General features: G+C 46.9%; 8 annotated features.

Moving 5' to 3' along the window:
- Nucleotides 1,517-1,696: an enhancer, noted in NCBI's record as "active region_2783". NCBI's record gives its function as "activates an Ori minimal core promoter by ATAC-STARR-seq in GM12878 lymphoblastoid cells {active_cell/tissue: GM12878}" and the evidence as "EXISTENCE:reporter gene assay evidence [ECO:0000049][PMID:35858748]".
- Nucleotides 1,517-2,576: a biological region, named in NCBI's record as "Sharpr-MPRA regulatory region 4658".
- Nucleotides 1,643-2,143: an enhancer, noted in NCBI's record as "H3K27ac hESC enhancer chr1:235147894-235148394 (GRCh37/hg19 assembly coordinates)". NCBI's record gives its function as "activates a minimal SCP1, AML or CMV promoter by ChIP-STARR-seq in naive H9 embryonic stem cells {active_cell/tissue: H9 hESC(naive)}" and the evidence as "EXISTENCE:reporter gene assay evidence [ECO:0000049][PMID:30033119]".
- Nucleotides 1,907-1,976: an enhancer, noted in NCBI's record as "active region_2782". NCBI's record gives its function as "activates an Ori minimal core promoter by ATAC-STARR-seq in GM12878 lymphoblastoid cells {active_cell/tissue: GM12878}" and the evidence as "EXISTENCE:reporter gene assay evidence [ECO:0000049][PMID:35858748]".
- Nucleotides 1,987-2,576: an enhancer, noted in NCBI's record as "active region_2781". NCBI's record gives its function as "activates an Ori minimal core promoter by ATAC-STARR-seq in GM12878 lymphoblastoid cells {active_cell/tissue: GM12878}" and the evidence as "EXISTENCE:reporter gene assay evidence [ECO:0000049][PMID:35858748]".
- Nucleotides 2,094-2,388: an enhancer, noted in NCBI's record as "tiled region #4658; HepG2 Activating non-DNase unmatched - State 8:EnhW, and K562 Activating DNase matched - State 5:Enh". NCBI's record gives its function as "activates a minimal TATA promoter and a strong SV40 promoter by Sharpr-MPRA in HepG2 and K562 cells {active_cell/tissue: HepG2 | K562}" and the evidence as "EXISTENCE:reporter gene assay evidence [ECO:0000049][PMID:27701403]".
- Nucleotides 7,994-8,053: an enhancer, noted in NCBI's record as "active region_2780". NCBI's record gives its function as "activates an Ori minimal core promoter by ATAC-STARR-seq in GM12878 lymphoblastoid cells {active_cell/tissue: GM12878}" and the evidence as "EXISTENCE:reporter gene assay evidence [ECO:0000049][PMID:35858748]".
- Nucleotides 15,154-16,353: an enhancer, noted in NCBI's record as "CDK7 strongly-dependent group 2 enhancer chr1:235133684-235134883 (GRCh37/hg19 assembly coordinates)". NCBI's record gives its function as "activates an origin of replication core promoter dependent on BRD2, BRD4, P300/CBP, MED14 and CDK7 cofactors, with strong dependence on CDK7, by STARR-seq in HCT116 cells {active_cell/tissue: HCT116}" and the evidence as "EXISTENCE:reporter gene assay evidence [ECO:0000049][PMID:35650434]".

Here is an 18,084-nt window from a genome sequence, read left to right as displayed (position 1 = left end):
AGAATGCCCAAGGGAGAAGATGTTTTAGAGGTGGAAATAAGAAAGTTATTTCAGTAAGAATTTGCTGCATACTAAATCATCGCAAGTCTTAGTGACTTAAAACAACAATGCAATCCCAGCACTTTGGGAGGCCGAGGTGGGTGGATCACGAGGTCAAGCGATTGAGACCATACTTGCCAACATGATGAAACCCCATCTCTACTAAAAATATAAAAAATTAGCCGAGCGTGGTGGCGGGCACCTGTAGTCCCAGCTACTCAGGAGGCTGAGGCAGGAGAATCGCTTGAGCCCAGGAGGCAGAGGTTGCAGTGAGCCAAGACAGCACCACTGTACTCCAGCCTTACAACAGAGACTCCATCTCAAAACACAAACAAAAAAAACAAGAATTGATTGTTTTCCTGATTTTATGAGTTGTCTGGACAGTTCTGCCGGTTTTGCTTGGGCTCACTAATGTGACTGCATTTAGTTGAATGCTCAGCTGGGCCGGAAGATCTGAGATGGCCTCTCTCATGTGACTGGCAGCTGGTTGGGGGACATCACTTCTCCATCTGCCCACCCCTCTTCCAGTGGCCTAGATCAGCTTCCTTAGATGGTTGTCTCTGGGCCACATTCCAAGAGGGCAAAAGTGGAAGCGGCAAGGGCTAGCCTTGGAAGTCACACACTGTAACTTTTGTTAAATTCTACTGGTTGAGGCAAGTCCCAGGCTAGCCCAGATTCAAGGGGTAGGGACATAGACCACAACTCTTGATGGGAGTAGCAGCTAAGTCATTGCCAAGGGATGTGCTTAACAAAGTAGGAGGAATTTGTGCCCATATTTTACAATTTCTTGTAGCAAGAAACCAACATTTATTGGATATTTACTGTGTTGCAGGTACTGTATAGGTACAACACATATATGAGTCCATTTAATCCTTATGGCAATCCTGGCAGGAAGGCCACTGAAGCAAGAGAGGTCCGGGGACAATATGGCCTTCCAAAGGACCCAGAACCAGTGAGGGGAAGGCTGACATTCAACTCCAGATTGGTTTTTGTTTTCATTTTTCTCTTCCTCTTGAATGCTGAGACTGGTCCTGCATCTGTGATGTATGGAAGAGGGATTCAGTTGGCTTTGCTAAGCAGTGTTTTCCTCTCCCCCGCCCTTCTTCCCTTCTTTTCAGATTTAATGAATTTCTGGCCTTCTTTGAAGGTTTTCTGGGTCACATGCTTTCTAGTTGCTATTGTGGAATAGTAAATGAGGCCTAGTTTTGCTTGTGGCAGATCCTGCTCTCTGGACACAGAGTTCCTGGTGGAGCAGTCTAATCTGGGTTGCTGGGTTGGTCGATGGTCCCCCAGACTGACCCTTCTGTCCCTGGGGTTGTCAGGGATTTTCTTGGCTGCAGATTCCTGCCCCAGTGGAGGCAGCTCTGAGCAGGCAAGCAGGAGCTAGCAGGCCTGTGCATTCTCTGAATGGCCAGAAGGGTCCTTTTGAAGGTTTTTCTTTATTTTCCTGAGTGTGGCCACCAGTGGAGTGTCCTGGAGAGCCCCAGGGGTGCAGTTCAGCAGCAGGACAGTCAGTCCCCCATCGGCATGGAGATGGAGTGTTCTGTGTGTGGATTGACCCTCTGGCGTCGTTGTTCCTGTTCAAACATTGCCTGTTTCTCTAAGGGGAAACATGAGCATTGGCGTTTCCTTTCTGGGTTGGAGGTGGAGAATTTCATCCCCACCCTACTCTGCGGATTCATTCCGTTTTAGTTGTCTGGCTTTGCCCGGGGCAGAGGCTGCTGACTGGTGAAAGCACCCTCTGAAAGCAAGTTTTTTGTTTTCTACTGTCCTCTGACCTTGGGACGGGCTATGATAGTCCTCAAAACCCTCACAAGCATGGTTTCCATGAGAGCCTTGCAACATTCCCTTGAGCCGGGCAGGGCAGGCAGCCATGTGGACATTTTAGAGATGAGGAAAGTGGGGCTGTGGCCAGACTCTTTGCGGCCAGACTCTTTCTGGCCAGGTTGTTCCACCTGGCTCTCCGGCTCGAGTCTGTCCAGCTTTCAGTCCTGCTGGTCTGTCTGCATAGGGGCTGCTTCTAGAAGACCAGGCGAGAGGATGTGGGTATGAGGGAGGAGCTGAGGCGCACAGGAAGAGCAGATGGCCTGTCTCTCTCCAGTATCTGCTAGTCACTACCTGGAAACCAGCAATGATGATGTAACCACAAGCATTATTCAGTGATGGCCGCCTTCCTTGTGTGGGTGGGACCGCAACACCGCCTGGGCTGGGGAATCCCATTGGTGACAACACAGCATCCTTTTGAGCTGACGCGGCAACAGATGCCCCAGACCAGCTCTGCGTCTGACAGCATCTCTGTGAAGCGTGTGCAGGGGACAGCAGACATCAGAGCTCTCCTGTAAATCACCTCCGCAAAGGCTCTTTGTGGTCGATTCACTGATGACTCATTTATAATCTGGTTTCAACATTGTGAGTCAAAATGCACCACTTTCATTAAAAATAACATTCACTGGGGTCTAACGGCTTTCTTTTTTCTGTTTTTTACTGTACTGTGTGGTTTCTGGATGGGAAGCTGTCAGATGGCAGGCGAGGTGTTCCGAGGGACTTGAGCATAATCGTGCAACGACTCAGGTGTGGATTGAACAAATAGTCCCGAATACCTGCTGTGGGTCCTGCAGACTTCTGGGCCATGGAAGTGTGTGGGTAGTCGGCGTGGGTGTGTGTGGGGGTGTGTGCAAGTATCAGGATCACCTGGGATGCTTGTTAAAAATACAGATTCCTGGGCTTCACCCCATATCTCTGAGGGTGGGGCCTTGTCAAATTCCTCAGGAGCTTTTTAGGTACAATAGAGTCAAGAGCCTTGACTCTGGGTGAGAGAGAATGGGAACTCCCTTCAAGCAGACCCTCCCTACAAACGGAGCAACCAGAGGAGAGGCAGGTCGACTGCAAGGCTGAGAGGGGTGGATGGGGGAGGTGAGAGAGGAAAAGGCAGGGGCGGGGGAACACCCGAGGTGGAGCGGGCCAACAGAGTCCCCATGGGAGAGTTGACTAAAAGCCCCGGCTTGATGCAAGGAACCCACAGTCTTTCTGGTTTGGGGACCAAATCTTGGGCATCCCCTACTTCCTTGGTTAAAAAAATTAAACATACAGAAACGGTTTAGTGGGCATTCTGCAGGGTAAAAAGCCCCTGCTGCATGGCCATGTTTTTATATTTTATGTTCTTTAGCAATGTTAGAAACTTCACTGGGAAAAGCACTTTAAAAAGATATAGTTGAGGGGAATGGGACGTGGGGAGTTATTGTTGAATGGGTGCAGAGTTTCAATTTTACAAGATGAAAGTGCCTGGAGATGGTTAGCGGCGATGGCTGTATAGCAGTGGGAATGCATGTCACACCACTGAACAACGTGCTTAAAAATGGTTACGATGGAGGCCAGGCACGGTGGCTGACACGTGTAATCCCAGCACTTTGGGTGGCGGAGGCGGGCTGATCACTTGAGGTCAGGAGTTTTGAGACCAGTCTGGCTAACATGGTGAAACCCTGTCTCTACTAAAAATACAAAAATTAGCCAGGCATGGTGGCGGGCACCTGTAATCCCAGCTACTCGGGAGGCTGAGGCAGGAGAATCACTTGAAACCCAGAGACGGAGTTTGCAGTGAGCTGAGATCGCACCACTGAACTCCAGCCTGGGTGACAGAGTGAGACGCTGTCTCAAAAAAAAAAGGTTAAGATGGTAAATTTTCTGTTATGTGTATTTTACTTACTACAATTTTTAAAAAATTGGAAAAAGAAAGATATGGTTGAGTCTGACTTGGATGAAAGTCTACAGGCCTCCTGCTGATGGTCTCAGCGGCTCCTGGGAAACTACCGTTTGTTTCAGCCATCTGTAACTTGATTTGTTGTTCAGAAGTTTGCCAAGACTTCTCCATGCAAAGCCAGGTGTAAGTTTAACCTGAGCCACGTGGGTCCCCCCACCTTTCCGCCTCCGATGGATCTTCTCTCCAAGGGCTCCGGTGCTCAGGCCCTCATAGCATGGGAAATCAGAAGGGATGTTTGGGTGGGAGGCTTGGCATGGAGGGTGGACATTTTGCTACAGATGGCCTTGCCCTCACGGAAGGCCATTGTTATTCCGCGTCTGCCCCCTGGCCGGGTCCAGCCACCTGAGCCTTCCTGAGCTCCCAGCTCTCAGTTGCAGCCAGCGCCCAACGCCTTCCTGCGGCACCTCCACAGACCTCGCCTCTTTGCCCTGACTCCTCTCATTCTCTGTTTTCCAGACTATCCCCAAGCCCTGCCTGTGGCTGCCTCCTCCCTCCATAGCATCCCTGCTCTGCCATGGCTCCCCTATTTGGGACAAGACCTTTGTGTGGGCCTCAAGATGTAGGCAGGTCTCTGCTCAGTGGCCCAGCTTTTGGTCGACACCTGCAAATGTGTCTAAAACTCATCTCAACCTCTTCCCCAACACCAGTCTTCCCTTTGATCCCACCCTCCATCTGCTCTTCTCTCAGCATTCCTGAGAGTTTCTGCAAGTTGCCCCAGCCAGAAACCAGGGTGCCAGGCATCACTCTTCCTGCCCGGTTCCCAGCTCCCACCAGCAGTGCCTCCTTGGCAGCTCTAGAATCCCCACTGCCTCTGGTCTAGTTCATGCCTCCATCACTTCTTCTCTGGACCACTGCAGTAGTCTCCTAAGTGACTGTAGCCATCTGAATAGTGGCCCCAAAGATATCAAGTGCCAATCGCCGGAAAACAGTGAATGTTACGCTACGTGGGAAAGTTTTTGCCAATATGATTAAGTTAAGGAATTCAAAAAAAATTATAAAATTGTGATAAATATATAACATAGACTTGACCAGTTTATTCATCTAAGTGCAGAGTTCAGTGGCATTAAGTATATTCCTATGTTGTGTGACCATCACCACCGTCCATCTCTAGAGCTCTTTTTGTCTTGCAGAACTGAAACTTTGTACCCATTAATAACTTCTATTTCTCTCTCTCCTCAGCCCCTGGCAACGACTCTTCCACTTTCTCTCTCTATGCATTTGAGTACTCTAGATACCTCATATTAGGTGGAATGAGGCCCGGCACAGTGGCTCACTCCTGTAATCTCAGTACTTTGGGAGGCTGCGGCGGGAGGATCATTTGAGCCCACGAGTTCGAGACCAGCCTGGGCAGCTAGTCAGACTTTGTCTCTACCAAAGATTTAAAAATTAGCCAGGTGATATGGTTTGGCTGTGTCCCCACCCAAATTTCACCTCGAATTGTAACTCCCACAATTCCTAAGTGTCATGTGAGGAACCCGGTGGGAAGTAATTGAATCATGGAGGCAGGTCTTTTCCATGCTGTTCTTGGGATAGTGAGTAAGTCTCACGACATCTGATGGTTTTAAACATGGGAGTTTCCCTGAACAGATTCTCTCTTTGCCTGCCACCATCCACGTAAGATGTGACTTGCTCCTCTTTGCCTTCTGCTATGATTGTGAAGCCTCTCCAGCCTTGTGGAACTGTGAGTCCATTAAACCTCTTTCTTTTGTAAATTGCCCAGTCTCAGGTATGTCTTTATTGGCAGTGTGAAAACGGACTAATATACCAGGTGTGGTGGTGCACACCTGTGGTCCCAGCTACTGGGGAGGCTGACGTGGGAGAATCACTTGAGCCCAGGAGTCAGAGGCTGCAATGAGCTAGGATCACACCATTGTGCTCCAGCCTGGGTGACAGAACAAGACCCTGTCTCAAAAATAAAATGAAATACAAAGGTAGACTCATATAGTCTTTGCCCTTTTGTGACTGGCTTATTTCTGTAGTGTATGAGAGAATTTCCTTCCTTTTGAAGGCTGAATCATATGCCATTGTGTGTATATAGCACATTTGTTTATTCATCCTTTGATGGACATTGCATTACTTTCACTTTGTAGCTATTGTGAATAGTGCTGCTGTGAACATGGGTGTACACATATCTCCTTAGATTCTGCTTTCAGTTCTTTGGGGCCTATACCCAGGAGAGGAATTGCTGGACCATATGGTAATTCTATGTTTAATTTTTTTGGGAAACTGTCATACTGTTTTACATAGTGACTGTACCTTCTTACATTCCCACCAACAGTGTACAAGGGTTTAAATGAAGATTTTGAGATGAGAAAATTATCCTGGATTATTCAGGTGGGTCCTAAATACCATCACAAGTGTCCTTACAAGGAAGAGGCAGCAGGAGATGGGACACACAGTAAAGGTGATAATGAAGATGGAGGTGGAGATTGGAGGGATGCGGCCACAAGCCAATGAATGCCTGCAGCTACCAGAAGCCACAGAGAGCTCCGCTAGAGCCTCTGGAGGGAGCTTGGCCCTGTCAACACCTTGATTTGAACCCAGTGAAACAAATTTCCAACTTCTGTCCTCCTGGACTGTGAAGTAATAAATTTCTGTTTTTTTAAGCTACCAAGTTTGTAGTAATTTGTGACAGCAGCCACATGGAACTAATACACAGATGTCCCAACATCCACACCGGCCTCACACTCCTCCAACTCAAGGTGCAGTTCCGTTGTTCATTTAGAATTGCAAATGGCCTTAGGGTGCTCCTTTGTTTGAGTACTTTCAAATGTTTCCCACTGTCCCTGGCATGGTGACCGGCTGCTCCTAAACAGATGCTAAGACCCTCAGTGCCTGGGGACTGCCTGCCTCAGCACAGTCCCCCTGGTGCTCCGTGCTTTAGTGCTACTATTTTCTCTTTGTTCCTTAAAGACACCATGTCCTCTCTTGGATCTCTTCTAGACCCCACAGTGCTGTTCTCTGAGTAGCTGCACCTCTGTATTCTTATTCCCTAATCTCCCCTCTAAGGTTTGGCTTTTTTATTTTATTTTATTTTATTTCATTTTTTCAGGAATAACTCTGAATTTTCCATAGGAGCTCAGATCTCAGCTGGACTGTGAGTGTCCCACTTCTGGGGACACTCTCCATGCCCTTCAGATGACTCTGGACATGGGTTGTTGCAATGCCCCATGTCCCCTTAGCTCCTGGTGCCATCCATCATCATGTGCCTCCTGCTTTGTGGCAGGTGCTTGTCTGCTTGTCTGTCTTTCCTGCTGGACTGGGAGCCTCCTGCAGGCAGCAACTGCTGTGTTCACCTCTCAATCCCCTGTGTCTAGCACAGAGCCTGGCCCATGGTGTGCACGGACGAATAGTTACTGGCTGAATGACTGAGCAGATGTGGGAAGGGAAGGAAGGGAAATCTCACTCCAAGACAAACAAGGAAGATGTCAGAAGCCACACTATATATCCTCCAAGGGAGGCGATTTTTTCTATCAACTAAGAAGCACACAACACCATGCTGGGTGCCAGGAGTTGGCAGCACTGCTGGAGGAGGTTCAAGATACTTTTGGAGCCAAATAAACTACCTGAGCAATGCTCGTCATTTGCCAAAGGATTGCCTTAGAGATGTCACACGGATGTTACAGGTCATCTTGCCCTTGCTTTGCATCTAGGCTTAATACATTATCACCCACCAATGCCCCCACCCCCAAGCAACCCAACATCTGTCTCTCTCTCTCACACACACACACAGACAAACACACACACCACACAGCATATAAAGTATTTTTTAAATTAAAAAATTAAACTGTAGTAAACACACATAACATAAAATTTACCACTGCAACCATTTCTAAGTGTGCAAGCTCAGTAGGGTTAAGTGCATTCACATTGTTCTGCAACCATCACCACCATCCATCCCCACAACTTTTCATCTTGCAAAACTGAAACTATACCCAGGAAACATTAACTCCCCATTCTTTCCCCACCCTCACACCAGCCACCCCCTACCACTCTTCTACTTTCTGCTTCTATGCATTTGACTATTCTCAATGCCGCATGTAAGTGGGATCATACAGCATTTGTTCTTTTGTGACTGGCTTATTTCACTCAGCATAATGTCCTCAAGGTTCATTCACATTATAGCATGTGTGAGAATTTCCTTCCTTTTCAAGGCTGAATAATATTCCATTGCATGGATAGACCACATCTTGTTTATTCATTCCTCTGACAATAGACACTTGAGTTGCTTCTACCTTTTGGCTATTGTGAATAATGCTGCTATGGTAAACATGGGTGCACAAATACCTCTTTGAGACCCTGCTTTCAGTTCTTTTGGGTATAGCCCCAGAAGTGAAATTTTAAGATCATATAGGAATTCTATCTTTAATTTTTTTAAGGAAGCTTCATGCTGTTTTTCATAGCGGCTGCGCCATCTTCCATTTCCACCCACGGTGCATGAAAGTTCCAATTTCTCCACATCCTTTACTCCCAAAGCGTTGATGGGTTTTGTAGCTTTTCCTGAATATTTCTTGGTGGAGGTGGGAGGAAGGTGGTCACATTCCATATCATACCACAAATGTTTTTAAATATGTTCTTTAAGCAACTCTCTTTTTCTCTCTGGGATTCTATTTCAGGTCACAGATAGTTCCTCTTTCCCCATTCTCCTTACCAATAAGATCTCCTTGCTAGACTTATCACAACAATGAACATTATTAATTTCATTATTATTGTTTCAAAAGTATTTTTGAGGCCGGGTGTGGTGGCTCATGCCTGTAATCCCAGCACTTTAGGAAGCTGAGGCAGGTGGATCGCCTGAGATCAGGAGTTTGAGACCAGCCTGGCCAATGTGGTAAAACCCCATCTCTGCTAAAAATACAAAAATTAGCCAAGCTTAGTGGCGGGTGCCTGTAATCCCAGCTACTTGGGAGGCTGAGGCGGGAGAATCGCTTGAACCCGGGAGGCGAAGGATGCAGTGAGCTGAGATCGTACCACTGCACTCCAGCCTGGGCAACAGAGGGAGACTCTGTCTCAAAAAAAAAAAAAAAGTATTTTTGATTAAGTATTTGCTCATGTAGTTCAACATTTAAAATGTCCTCAAATCTCCCTTCTAGACAGTCCTATATCCACCGAGTTCCATTCCCCGGAGGCCACTCATGTATTGCTTCCTTATTACATATCTGGAGATATTTTATAGACATAAGATAGGAGAGCAAATTGATGAGTGGTAACATGAAGCATGAAATATAAAAGTAATAATAGGTAAGCACCAAAAACAGAACTGAAAGTATGCAGACAAAGAAAATCAGATAGGTCTGTTTAATATCAGCTGAGAGCATGAGATAAAATGGAAAGTAGCCACCTGGTTCTTTGCATGATTTGCATCACAGATACATAATATAGGTTGCACACACCTGGAAGAAAAGCAGATTGCATTATAGCAATTACCAAAGCAGGACCATGGGACAATCTGGGGTGGGTAAGGGGGCAGTGGCCTAGAACCACATGAGCAGAATTTTTGAGCATCCTGAGTGGAATTTTGGGCAGACTCAACGGAGGGTTTGGTGTTTGGGGGTTTGGTGTTTGGATAAATAGCTAAACCTAAGCCTGCACACTTGAGACATCTGGGATACCACAGACCTGTTTTCTCACTGATTTGATAGGTTACCAATGTAGACATATTTGTTTTAAAAGGGTCACCATGCTTCCCTGCCGTTGATTCCATTGGGAGGATGAGTCCTGGACAGGGCCGGAGTGATCCATTCCTTGGGTTGTGCTTCTCAATACTTGCTTTCATCTTCTTTTCTGGTACATGGCTAGTCCCTCTATCTAGTGGAACCATGGGCTGGTTTTCACCAAGGTAACATGAGAGGAAGTGATTATCTCAGTTGATTTTTTGCTGTTAGAATATCACAGACTGGTAATTTATAAAAAACAGAAGTTAATTTGCTCACAGTTCTGAAGGCTGGGAAGTCCAATGTCAAGGAGTGGCAGATTTCGGGATGGTGCCTTAAACACTGCATCCTCCAGAGGGGAGCAATGCCTTGTCCTCACATGGCCCAAGGCAGAAGGGCAAAGAGAGAAAAGGAGGATAGGCTCATCCTTTATAATGGCATTAATCCTACATGTGGGAATAGAGCCTTCACGGCCTAATCCCTTCTTAAAGATCCTACCTCTTAATACTGTTACAATGGTAGTTAAATTTCCACATGAATTTTGGAGGGGACAAATATTCAAGCCATAGCAGTGATATTGCCATGTGTAGACTACAGCAGTCCCTTGGGAGACTTTATTCCAGTGACACCAACCACTGCTCCAAAAGAATCCAAGTTCTTCACCTCTATACTCTACTGTCTTCTCTTGGTTGCCTCCACAAATCATATCCACCATGAAAGAATAAGTAGTTATTATTTATTTAATCATCAAGAATAGTCAATAAACTGTCCCCATGGGCAATCTCAAAACTGCCAGGACGATAGCACCATTAGTGGAATAAGACTATAGCTTTCAAAGCTCTTCATCCCTGTGTCTTGAGCCCTCTTAGATCTATTTAGAGATACCTCCCTGCTATGATTTGAATGCTTTTCCCCTTTCATGTTGAAATTTAATCCTTGAAGTGGCAGTATGGAGAGGGGGCCTTTAAGAGGTGATTGGGCCATGATATCTCTGTCCTCATGAATGGATTCATCCATTTGTGGATTAACAGATTAATGGGTGATCATGGGAGTGGAACTGGTGGCTTTATAAGAAGAGGAAGAGAGACCTGAGTACACTAACACACTCAGCCCCCTGTCCATGTGATGCCCTGCACTGCCCTGGGACTCTGCAGAGTCCCCAACAGCAAGAAGGCTCTCACTAGATGTAGACCCTTGACCTTGGACTTCTCAGTCTCCATAACTGTAAGAAATACATTTCTTTTCTTTTTTTCTTTTTTTTTTTTTTGAGACAGGTTTTGCTCTGTCACCCAGGCTGGGCTGCAGTGGTGTGGTCATGTCTCACTGCAGCCTCAATGTCTTGGGCTAAAGGTGTTCTCCCCACCTTAGCTTCCTGAGTAGCTGGGACGACAGGTGTGCACCACCACGCCCAGCTAATTTTTTTAATTTTTTACTTTTTTCATAGAGATGGGGTCTCCCTATGTTGCCAAGGCTGGTCTTGGATTCCTGGCCTCAAGTGTTCCTCAGGCCTTGGCCTCCTAAAGTGTTGGGATTATAGGCATGAACCACTGTGATTGGCTCAAATTCCTTTTCTTTATAAATTACCCAGTTTTAGATATTCTGTCATAAGCAACAGAAAATGGACTCAGATGCTCCTTCTAAGGACCCCTCAGCGATTTGTATTTTATGCTAGTAGATGGAACAAATGCAAATTCCTGGTAGGTCTTGAGAAGTACAGGTGGTGTATTCTAATTCAGGATTGATGACTCAGGACTCTGGATTTACATTTTCTCACATACCATTAGCCAAGCATGGTGGCGGGCGGGGCGCCTGTAATCCCAGCTACTGGGGAGGCTGAGGCAGGAGAATCGCTTGAACCCAGGAGGTGGAGGTTGCAGTGAGCCAAGATCGTGCCACTGTACTCCAGTCCACTGAATCCCGACTCCAGCTCTAGGGTGGTGGAGTCTGTGTGCTGCCATGTGCTGTGGTTGCTGTGGGGATCTCACTCTCCCCATCCCACTCCCACTGTCTGCCCCGGCTTTCTCTGTGCCTCATTGTCCCATCAGTCAGGGAGACTCACCACAGCCGCTATCATTGTAACATCAGTGTTGAACAATAATCGAAACCCAAATAGAGATCTCCCCTCTCCTTAAAAAACATTCTAATAATATTCCAAGGTCAGGGCCAACAGTACAAAAACATTGTTCTCATTAATGTGCACACATATATTGAATGTACATGCTTTATTTTGACTCAAATTTTCCAACATGGGTCTAACTGTGAATAGCTGAAGATACTTTTTTTTCAGTTTTGCTTTTTTTTTTTTTGAGATGGAGTTTTGCTCTTGTTGCCCAGGCTGGAGTGCAATGGCATGATCTCAGCTCACGGCAACCTCTACCTCCTGGGTTCAAGTGATTCTCCTGCCTCAGCCTCCCGAGTAGCTGGGATTACAAGCATGCGCCGCCACGTCCGGCTAACTTCATATTTTTAGTAGAGATGGGGTTTCACCATGTTGGTCAGGCTGGTCTCGAACTCCTGACCTCAGGTGATCCGCCCATCTAGGCCTCCCAAAGTGCTGGGATTACAAGCATGAGCCACCATGCCCGGCCTAGTTTTGCATTTTTTATGGATACAGAATACTTATACATATTTATGGGGTAAATGTGATATTTGGATACAAGCATACAATGTGTAGTGATCAAATTGTCGTATGTAGGGTACCCATCACCTTGAACATTTATCATTTATTTGTGTTGGGAACATTTCAAATCTTCTAGCTATTTTGAAATATACAATATATTATTGTTAACTATAGTCACCCCACTGTGCTATCAAACACTGAAACTTATTCCTTCTATCTAACTGTATGTTTGTATCCACTAACCAGGCTCTCTTCATCCCTTCTCCTACCTTTCCTAGCCTCCGGTCTCTATCATTCTACTCTCTCCCTCCACGAGACCAACTTTTTTTTAGCTCCCACATAGAAGTGAGGTCACACAATATTTGTCTTTCTGTGCTTGGCTTATTTCATAAAATGGACTGCAGTTCCACCCATGTTGCTGCAAATGAAGGATTTCATTCTTTTTTATGACTGAATAGTATCCCATTGTGTATGAATATATATATATACACCATATTAAAAAATTCAGTCTAGATGAATATGCTTTGTATGAATTCAGGCTTCTGGCAAAAGCGTTTCATGGGTAGAAACATTGAAGATTGTCCCTTTGGCATGTGAAGGAGAGAATAACTAATTTTACTCGGGGCAGGGCACTGGTGTGTGTTTGTGTATGTGTGTGTGTGTGTGTGTGTGTGTGAGACACTGGAGTATGAGAGAACATTTCTGAAGCCCAGCTCATGCAAGAGAACACCTTCCTCAGTATCTTTGGAGGTCTTTGAGTGGGTTTGGCCTCACCATATCCTTTCACGAATCTTGGGACCCTTGCCAAATTTTGCAAATCTGTTTCAAGCCTTGGTGATCTCTTTTTGCACTTTCTGCAGAAATTGGGGACCAAGGCTGACCTTGCTCTCTATTTCCTTTTTTTTTTTTTTAATTTGAGGAGTGCAATGGTGTGATCTCAGCTCACTGCAACCTCCGCCTCCTGAGTTCAAGCGATTCTTCTGCCTCAGCCTCCTGAATAGCTGAGATTACAGGTGCCGGTCACCACGCCCGGCTCATTTTCATATTTTTAGTAGAGACAGGGTTTCACCATGTTGGCCAGGCTGGTCTCGAATTCCAGACCTCAAGTGATCCACCTGCCTCAGCCCCCCAAAGTGCTGGGATTACAGGCATGAGCCACCGCGTCCGGCCTCTATTTTCTTTTAATTAAATTCCAGTTGAAAGTTGTCAATGAAGTTATAAAACTGATACATACAGGATCCCAGAAAGAAAAGAAAATACAAGCAAGCAAAGTAAGGATTCTTCTTCTTTTTTGTTTTTTTCTTTAAATGACATTTGGCAAGACTGGCTACTTTGTCATGAAATCATCGGAATTCTCTTTTAATCTTCCCATGAAAACCTGTGTACTTCGGGATTCAGAGTCACATGAATCTTTGCCTGGCAGGAATGTAAATGTTTTGAGAAGGCTGTTGTCTTTTCGAGTTTGAGCCACAGCAGAAGCCGAAGGGCCTGTAGATGAAGGCTAGGTGGGGCCTGCTAATGTTCTGGGCAATTTCTAACTCTGACAAGACACAGATACCTCCCTTCCTTCCCCCGCCCCAAACATCTCCTGTCACCTTCAGTAGACCGCAGGCTCGTGGGGGCGGTGGAGAGAATGCTCCCTTCTCCCTGTTCTGGCCACTCTGACGTGGCTGAGGGGCTGGAGGAGGTCCCCAGTCGAAGCCCAACCTATGGTTTACACCATGACGATTCCTTTGCCCCTTTTTGCGTGGGGGTGAGATTATGGGAAAGGGACTCCAGGGTCCTCTCTGAATTTTATTTATTTATTTATTTTTTTATGTTTTGAGACAGAGTTTTGCTCTTGTCACCCAGGCTGGAGTGCCGCGGCATGGTCTCGGCTCACTGCAACCTCCGTCCACCTCCCGGATTCAAGCAATTCCCCTGCCCCAGCCTCCCAAGTAGCTGGGATTACAGGTACATGCCACCACGCCTGGCTAGTTTTTGTATTTTTAGCAGATACAGGGTTTCACCATGTTGGCCAGGCTGGTCTCGAACTCCTGACCTCAGGTGATCTGCCTGCCTTGGCCTCCCAAAGTGCTGAGATTACAGGCATGAGCCACCACACTCGGCCTCCTCTGTGAATTTTAAACTGTGCACGTCTGACCTGAATGCACAGCTCTCAGTGTCCCCAGAACAGGGCCCCGCACCCATCTGATCCCTGAGACTGAGGAGGAGGAAAGGGATGGAGAGAACAGAGCTTCATCTGAGGGTGGTCAGACAGCCGGGTGCTAAGGAGCCTGTGTCAGCCAAAATGGAGGAAGAAACAGGCCTTCCTGCCTTTCCCGCTCTCTCTGTCCAGCCTAGCAGGTCCACTTGAATGCCCACTGACGGCTGCAGGTTGAGGTTCTGCCTTTGGCCAGTGTCGTTTCCAGCCAGGTAGACACCCATGGGGAGAGGTGGGGCTGCTAAGTGGGGCACCAGGCTCGGAGTCAGGAGGCCAGGCTCGGGCCCCAGGGCTGCTACATTATTAGTGCTGCTATTTGGCATGTGGCAAAGTGTTTCTCATCTCCAGAGACAGGGTTTCACCATGTTGGCCATGCTGGTCTCGAATCCCTGACGTCAAGTGATCCGCCCATCTCAGCCTGTCCACGTAACTGGCACTGTCCACATCATCGAGGTCTGGTGGGGCTCCAGTGAGAATGGTGCTTGTGAACTGAAGCTCATGGTGCTGGTGTCAGGGTTGGCTCTGCAGCGGGTTTCATCTGGTGGCTGTAGATTAAGGTTGAGTAGTACCAGGCTTGTCTGGAAATGGGAAAATCCAGATTTTCATAGATTTTTAGTACATTAGAGCTGGATGGAAACTTAGCAAATATTTACTCCAATTCCACCATTGGACAGATAAGGAAACTGAGTCTTAGAGAAGGGGAAGTCACTTGAAGGGTTGTGCTGGGTCATTTGAACAGCCCTGGGAGAGGCCCTGGAGAAACTCTACTCCGTAAGCGAGGCCACATACCAAGGTGACCTTTCCCTGCCAATGGAGAGTGTTGTTCACTCAAAAATAGAACTAAGCTGGGCGTGGTGGCTCACGCCTGTAACCCCAGCACTTTGGGAGGCTGAGGCGGGTGGATCACTTGAGGTCAGGAGTTCAAGACCAGCCTGGACAACATGGTGAAACCCGATCTCTACCAAAAATACAAAAATTAGCCTGGCGGTGCCTGTAGTCCCAACTACTTGGGAGGCTAAGGCAGGAGAATTGCTTGAACCCGGGAGGCAGAGGTTGCAGTGAGCCGAGATCACGCCACTGCACTCCAGCCTGGGCAAAAGAGCAAGACTTCATCTCAAAAACAAAAACAAAAACAAAAACAAAAACAAAACAAAAATAGAACTGATGATATGAAAGGCAGATGGCAGAGCTGAAAGATCCAACCCCTAGAGGAAGAACAGAGGCCCAAAGGAGAAGACCGGGGGTGGGATCCAGGCGGTGCTACTGTTACTATTTCTCATGGCAAGTCTCTTGACCTTATGACTACAGGTGAGCCTCCGCGACTCTTCCAACTCCCAGAGCAGCCTGAGGATCAAAGGTGCCTGTTAGTAGCCACTCCTTTAGGGCGGGCGGGGGCCAGGAAGAAGCCGTGACTCACAGGTACTGCCTGCTGGAGGGCTCTTTCTCTGCAGCAAATTGCTCTGGTGGAGAATTATAGGTGTGGAAGAGACTAACCTTAAAGGCTACAACTTTATAGGGTGTGAATAAAGGCTGACGCATGGTGCTTCCTAACAAAATAAGGGGAAGCTCCAGCTCCTGACCTCATCCAGAGAGGTCTTGACTTGTTCAGCGGGGCTTGGGTTGCTGGCGTTGCCTGGGATGCAGGCGGCACAATACCAGAGACCTAGGAGCAAATGAGAAACCCAGGCGCCAGGCCAGGAGAACAGGGCCTCGTCTTTCGGAAGATCTGGATACGTGCAGGCTCTGCACTTTCTTTGCTTTGAGACAACTGACTCCTGCAATTCCAATCACACAGGGACAACTGGGGAGGGACAGCTGTGTCCTTGCTATTTCAGGCATGTTGAGAACGTCCAGAAGGAAAATAATCTCTCATTCTCTCATGTTCCCCCACCCCAAAACATACACAAACCTATCGGGGCTGTGAGCCTCTCTGGCAAGATCTCTGGAGGTATCTGTACTCTGCCTTGTTTTATTGGCATTGATGACACGTCTTCCTGGCAAACCTGTATCATTCATTACAGCAGAACATAGGTTCTAGTGTCGTTACTGGAAGAAAATGATTCCTCCCTTCATTGCTCTAGTCTGCTGGACACAGTGTGGGGACTGATTGAAGAGACAGAAACCCCCGAGAAACAGGCCCCAGTTTCAGGCCAGAGCTGCAGGGTTGGGTCTCTCGGCTCATTGTGCAGGAGGAAGAGGAAGAGGGGGGAGAAGGCAGCCATCTGGTTTCCTTGGAAATCACACGGGAAGGTTAGAAGATGGGAGTCCAGGAGATGGAGTGTGGAAGTTTCTGCACCCAGTTCCGAAGCCCAGACTGTGAAGGGAATAGTTATGTTTCTTCTGGAAGCAGCCAGCACACAGTCCCAGAAGGAATCAGAACTGCTGTACAGATTTTTCCTGAAGGGGAGGACTGCCTGCCGCTAACGTCAGCAAGGAGAGACTACCTTGTTCCTCTGAAACCGAGTCAGCTTGCGGAGCTGAGTCAGAGGGAATGTTGTTGCTCACCCTGGAGCAGGGCCAGGATGTGAGGGCTGGACTTTGCTAAAAATAAGCCATTCATGTTTGGACATCATGCTCTGTCTCCTCGGATCCCTGGCATCTGGCGCTGTGCCATGTCCCGTGGCGCCCTGTGGTGTCCTGTGGGTTGAAGCCAGGGGCTGACTCAGGACCAGGATGTTCTCTGGACTCTTTTTCTGCTGGGTTGGGTGCAGCGGAGGCAATGCTTGGTGATGAGTTTTCGCCATCGCAGCTCTGGACCATGCCAAGGGCAGAGGCTGTAGTGGGAGACAGAGCTGGAAGAAGTTGCTGCTCAGGCGGGGGCCCACCCAAGGATGTCACTGGGGTCTGTTCCTCTGAGGGGCTGTCTTTCCTGGCCCTTTGTTGCCCCAACACCCCAGAAGCCAAGATATTTCCCTGACACAGCCCTTCCTAAAGCTGACACCTTTCACCAGCTATTAGGGAGTGGAGGAAGTGAGCAACTGTTTCTCCCAATAAAAAGAACTTTAAGGTGTACTCATTATTTAAAAATCAAACACAAAAAGAAAATATAAGGAAGAAAAAACACCGTCTATTATCTTCCTTCTCCCATAACTTTCTAGAGGAAAGATACATAGTTTTCAATGCACATTTTTGTATGCACGTTCAGGTGAATACATTTTGCTTTGATAAAAATGGGATTGTGTTAACATTTTCCAACTAATTTTCTTACTTTTTAAGAGATCATGGGCTTTTCGTAGCCATAATTACAGACTTACAGGATCGTTTAATAGCTTCATTTAGAGGAAGCATAATTTAACCTAGGCGTCGACAAACTTTTCCTGTAAATGGCCAGATAGTAAATATTTTTGGTTTTGTGGGTCAGATGGTCATTGCTGCAAACACTCAACTCTGTTATTGTAGCTCCAAATTGGTCAAAGACGTAAATGACCAGGTGTGGCTATGTTCCAATAAAACTTTATTCACAAAATAGGTCCTAGACTGGGTTTTGGCCCACTGGCCCACTTGCAGACCTGTGATTTAAACTGTCACCTACTGATGGGCATTTAAGAAGTTTCCAATGTTTTGCTATTAAAAACTGAGCCGAGATGGCGCCATTGCACTCCAGCCTGGGCGATAAAGCAAGACTCCGTCTCAAAACAACACAAAACAAAAAAACAGCACATAAATATGCCTTTGCGTGTATATGTATATGAGCAGGTGTATATTTGTATATATGCATATGTATACATACACACATAGTATATACATATATATGATTTATATATAAACAGGATTAATACACAGATATATGGTGTATATCTATGTGTGTGCG

The sequence above is a fragment of the Homo sapiens genome, chromosome 1 (genome assembly GCF_000001405.40).
Source record: "Homo sapiens chromosome 1, GRCh38.p14 Primary Assembly".
Taxonomy (NCBI): domain Eukaryota; kingdom Metazoa; phylum Chordata; class Mammalia; order Primates; family Hominidae; genus Homo; species Homo sapiens.
Note: the sequence above shows the minus strand (reverse complement) of the source record. Positions and strands in the feature narration are given on the sequence as shown.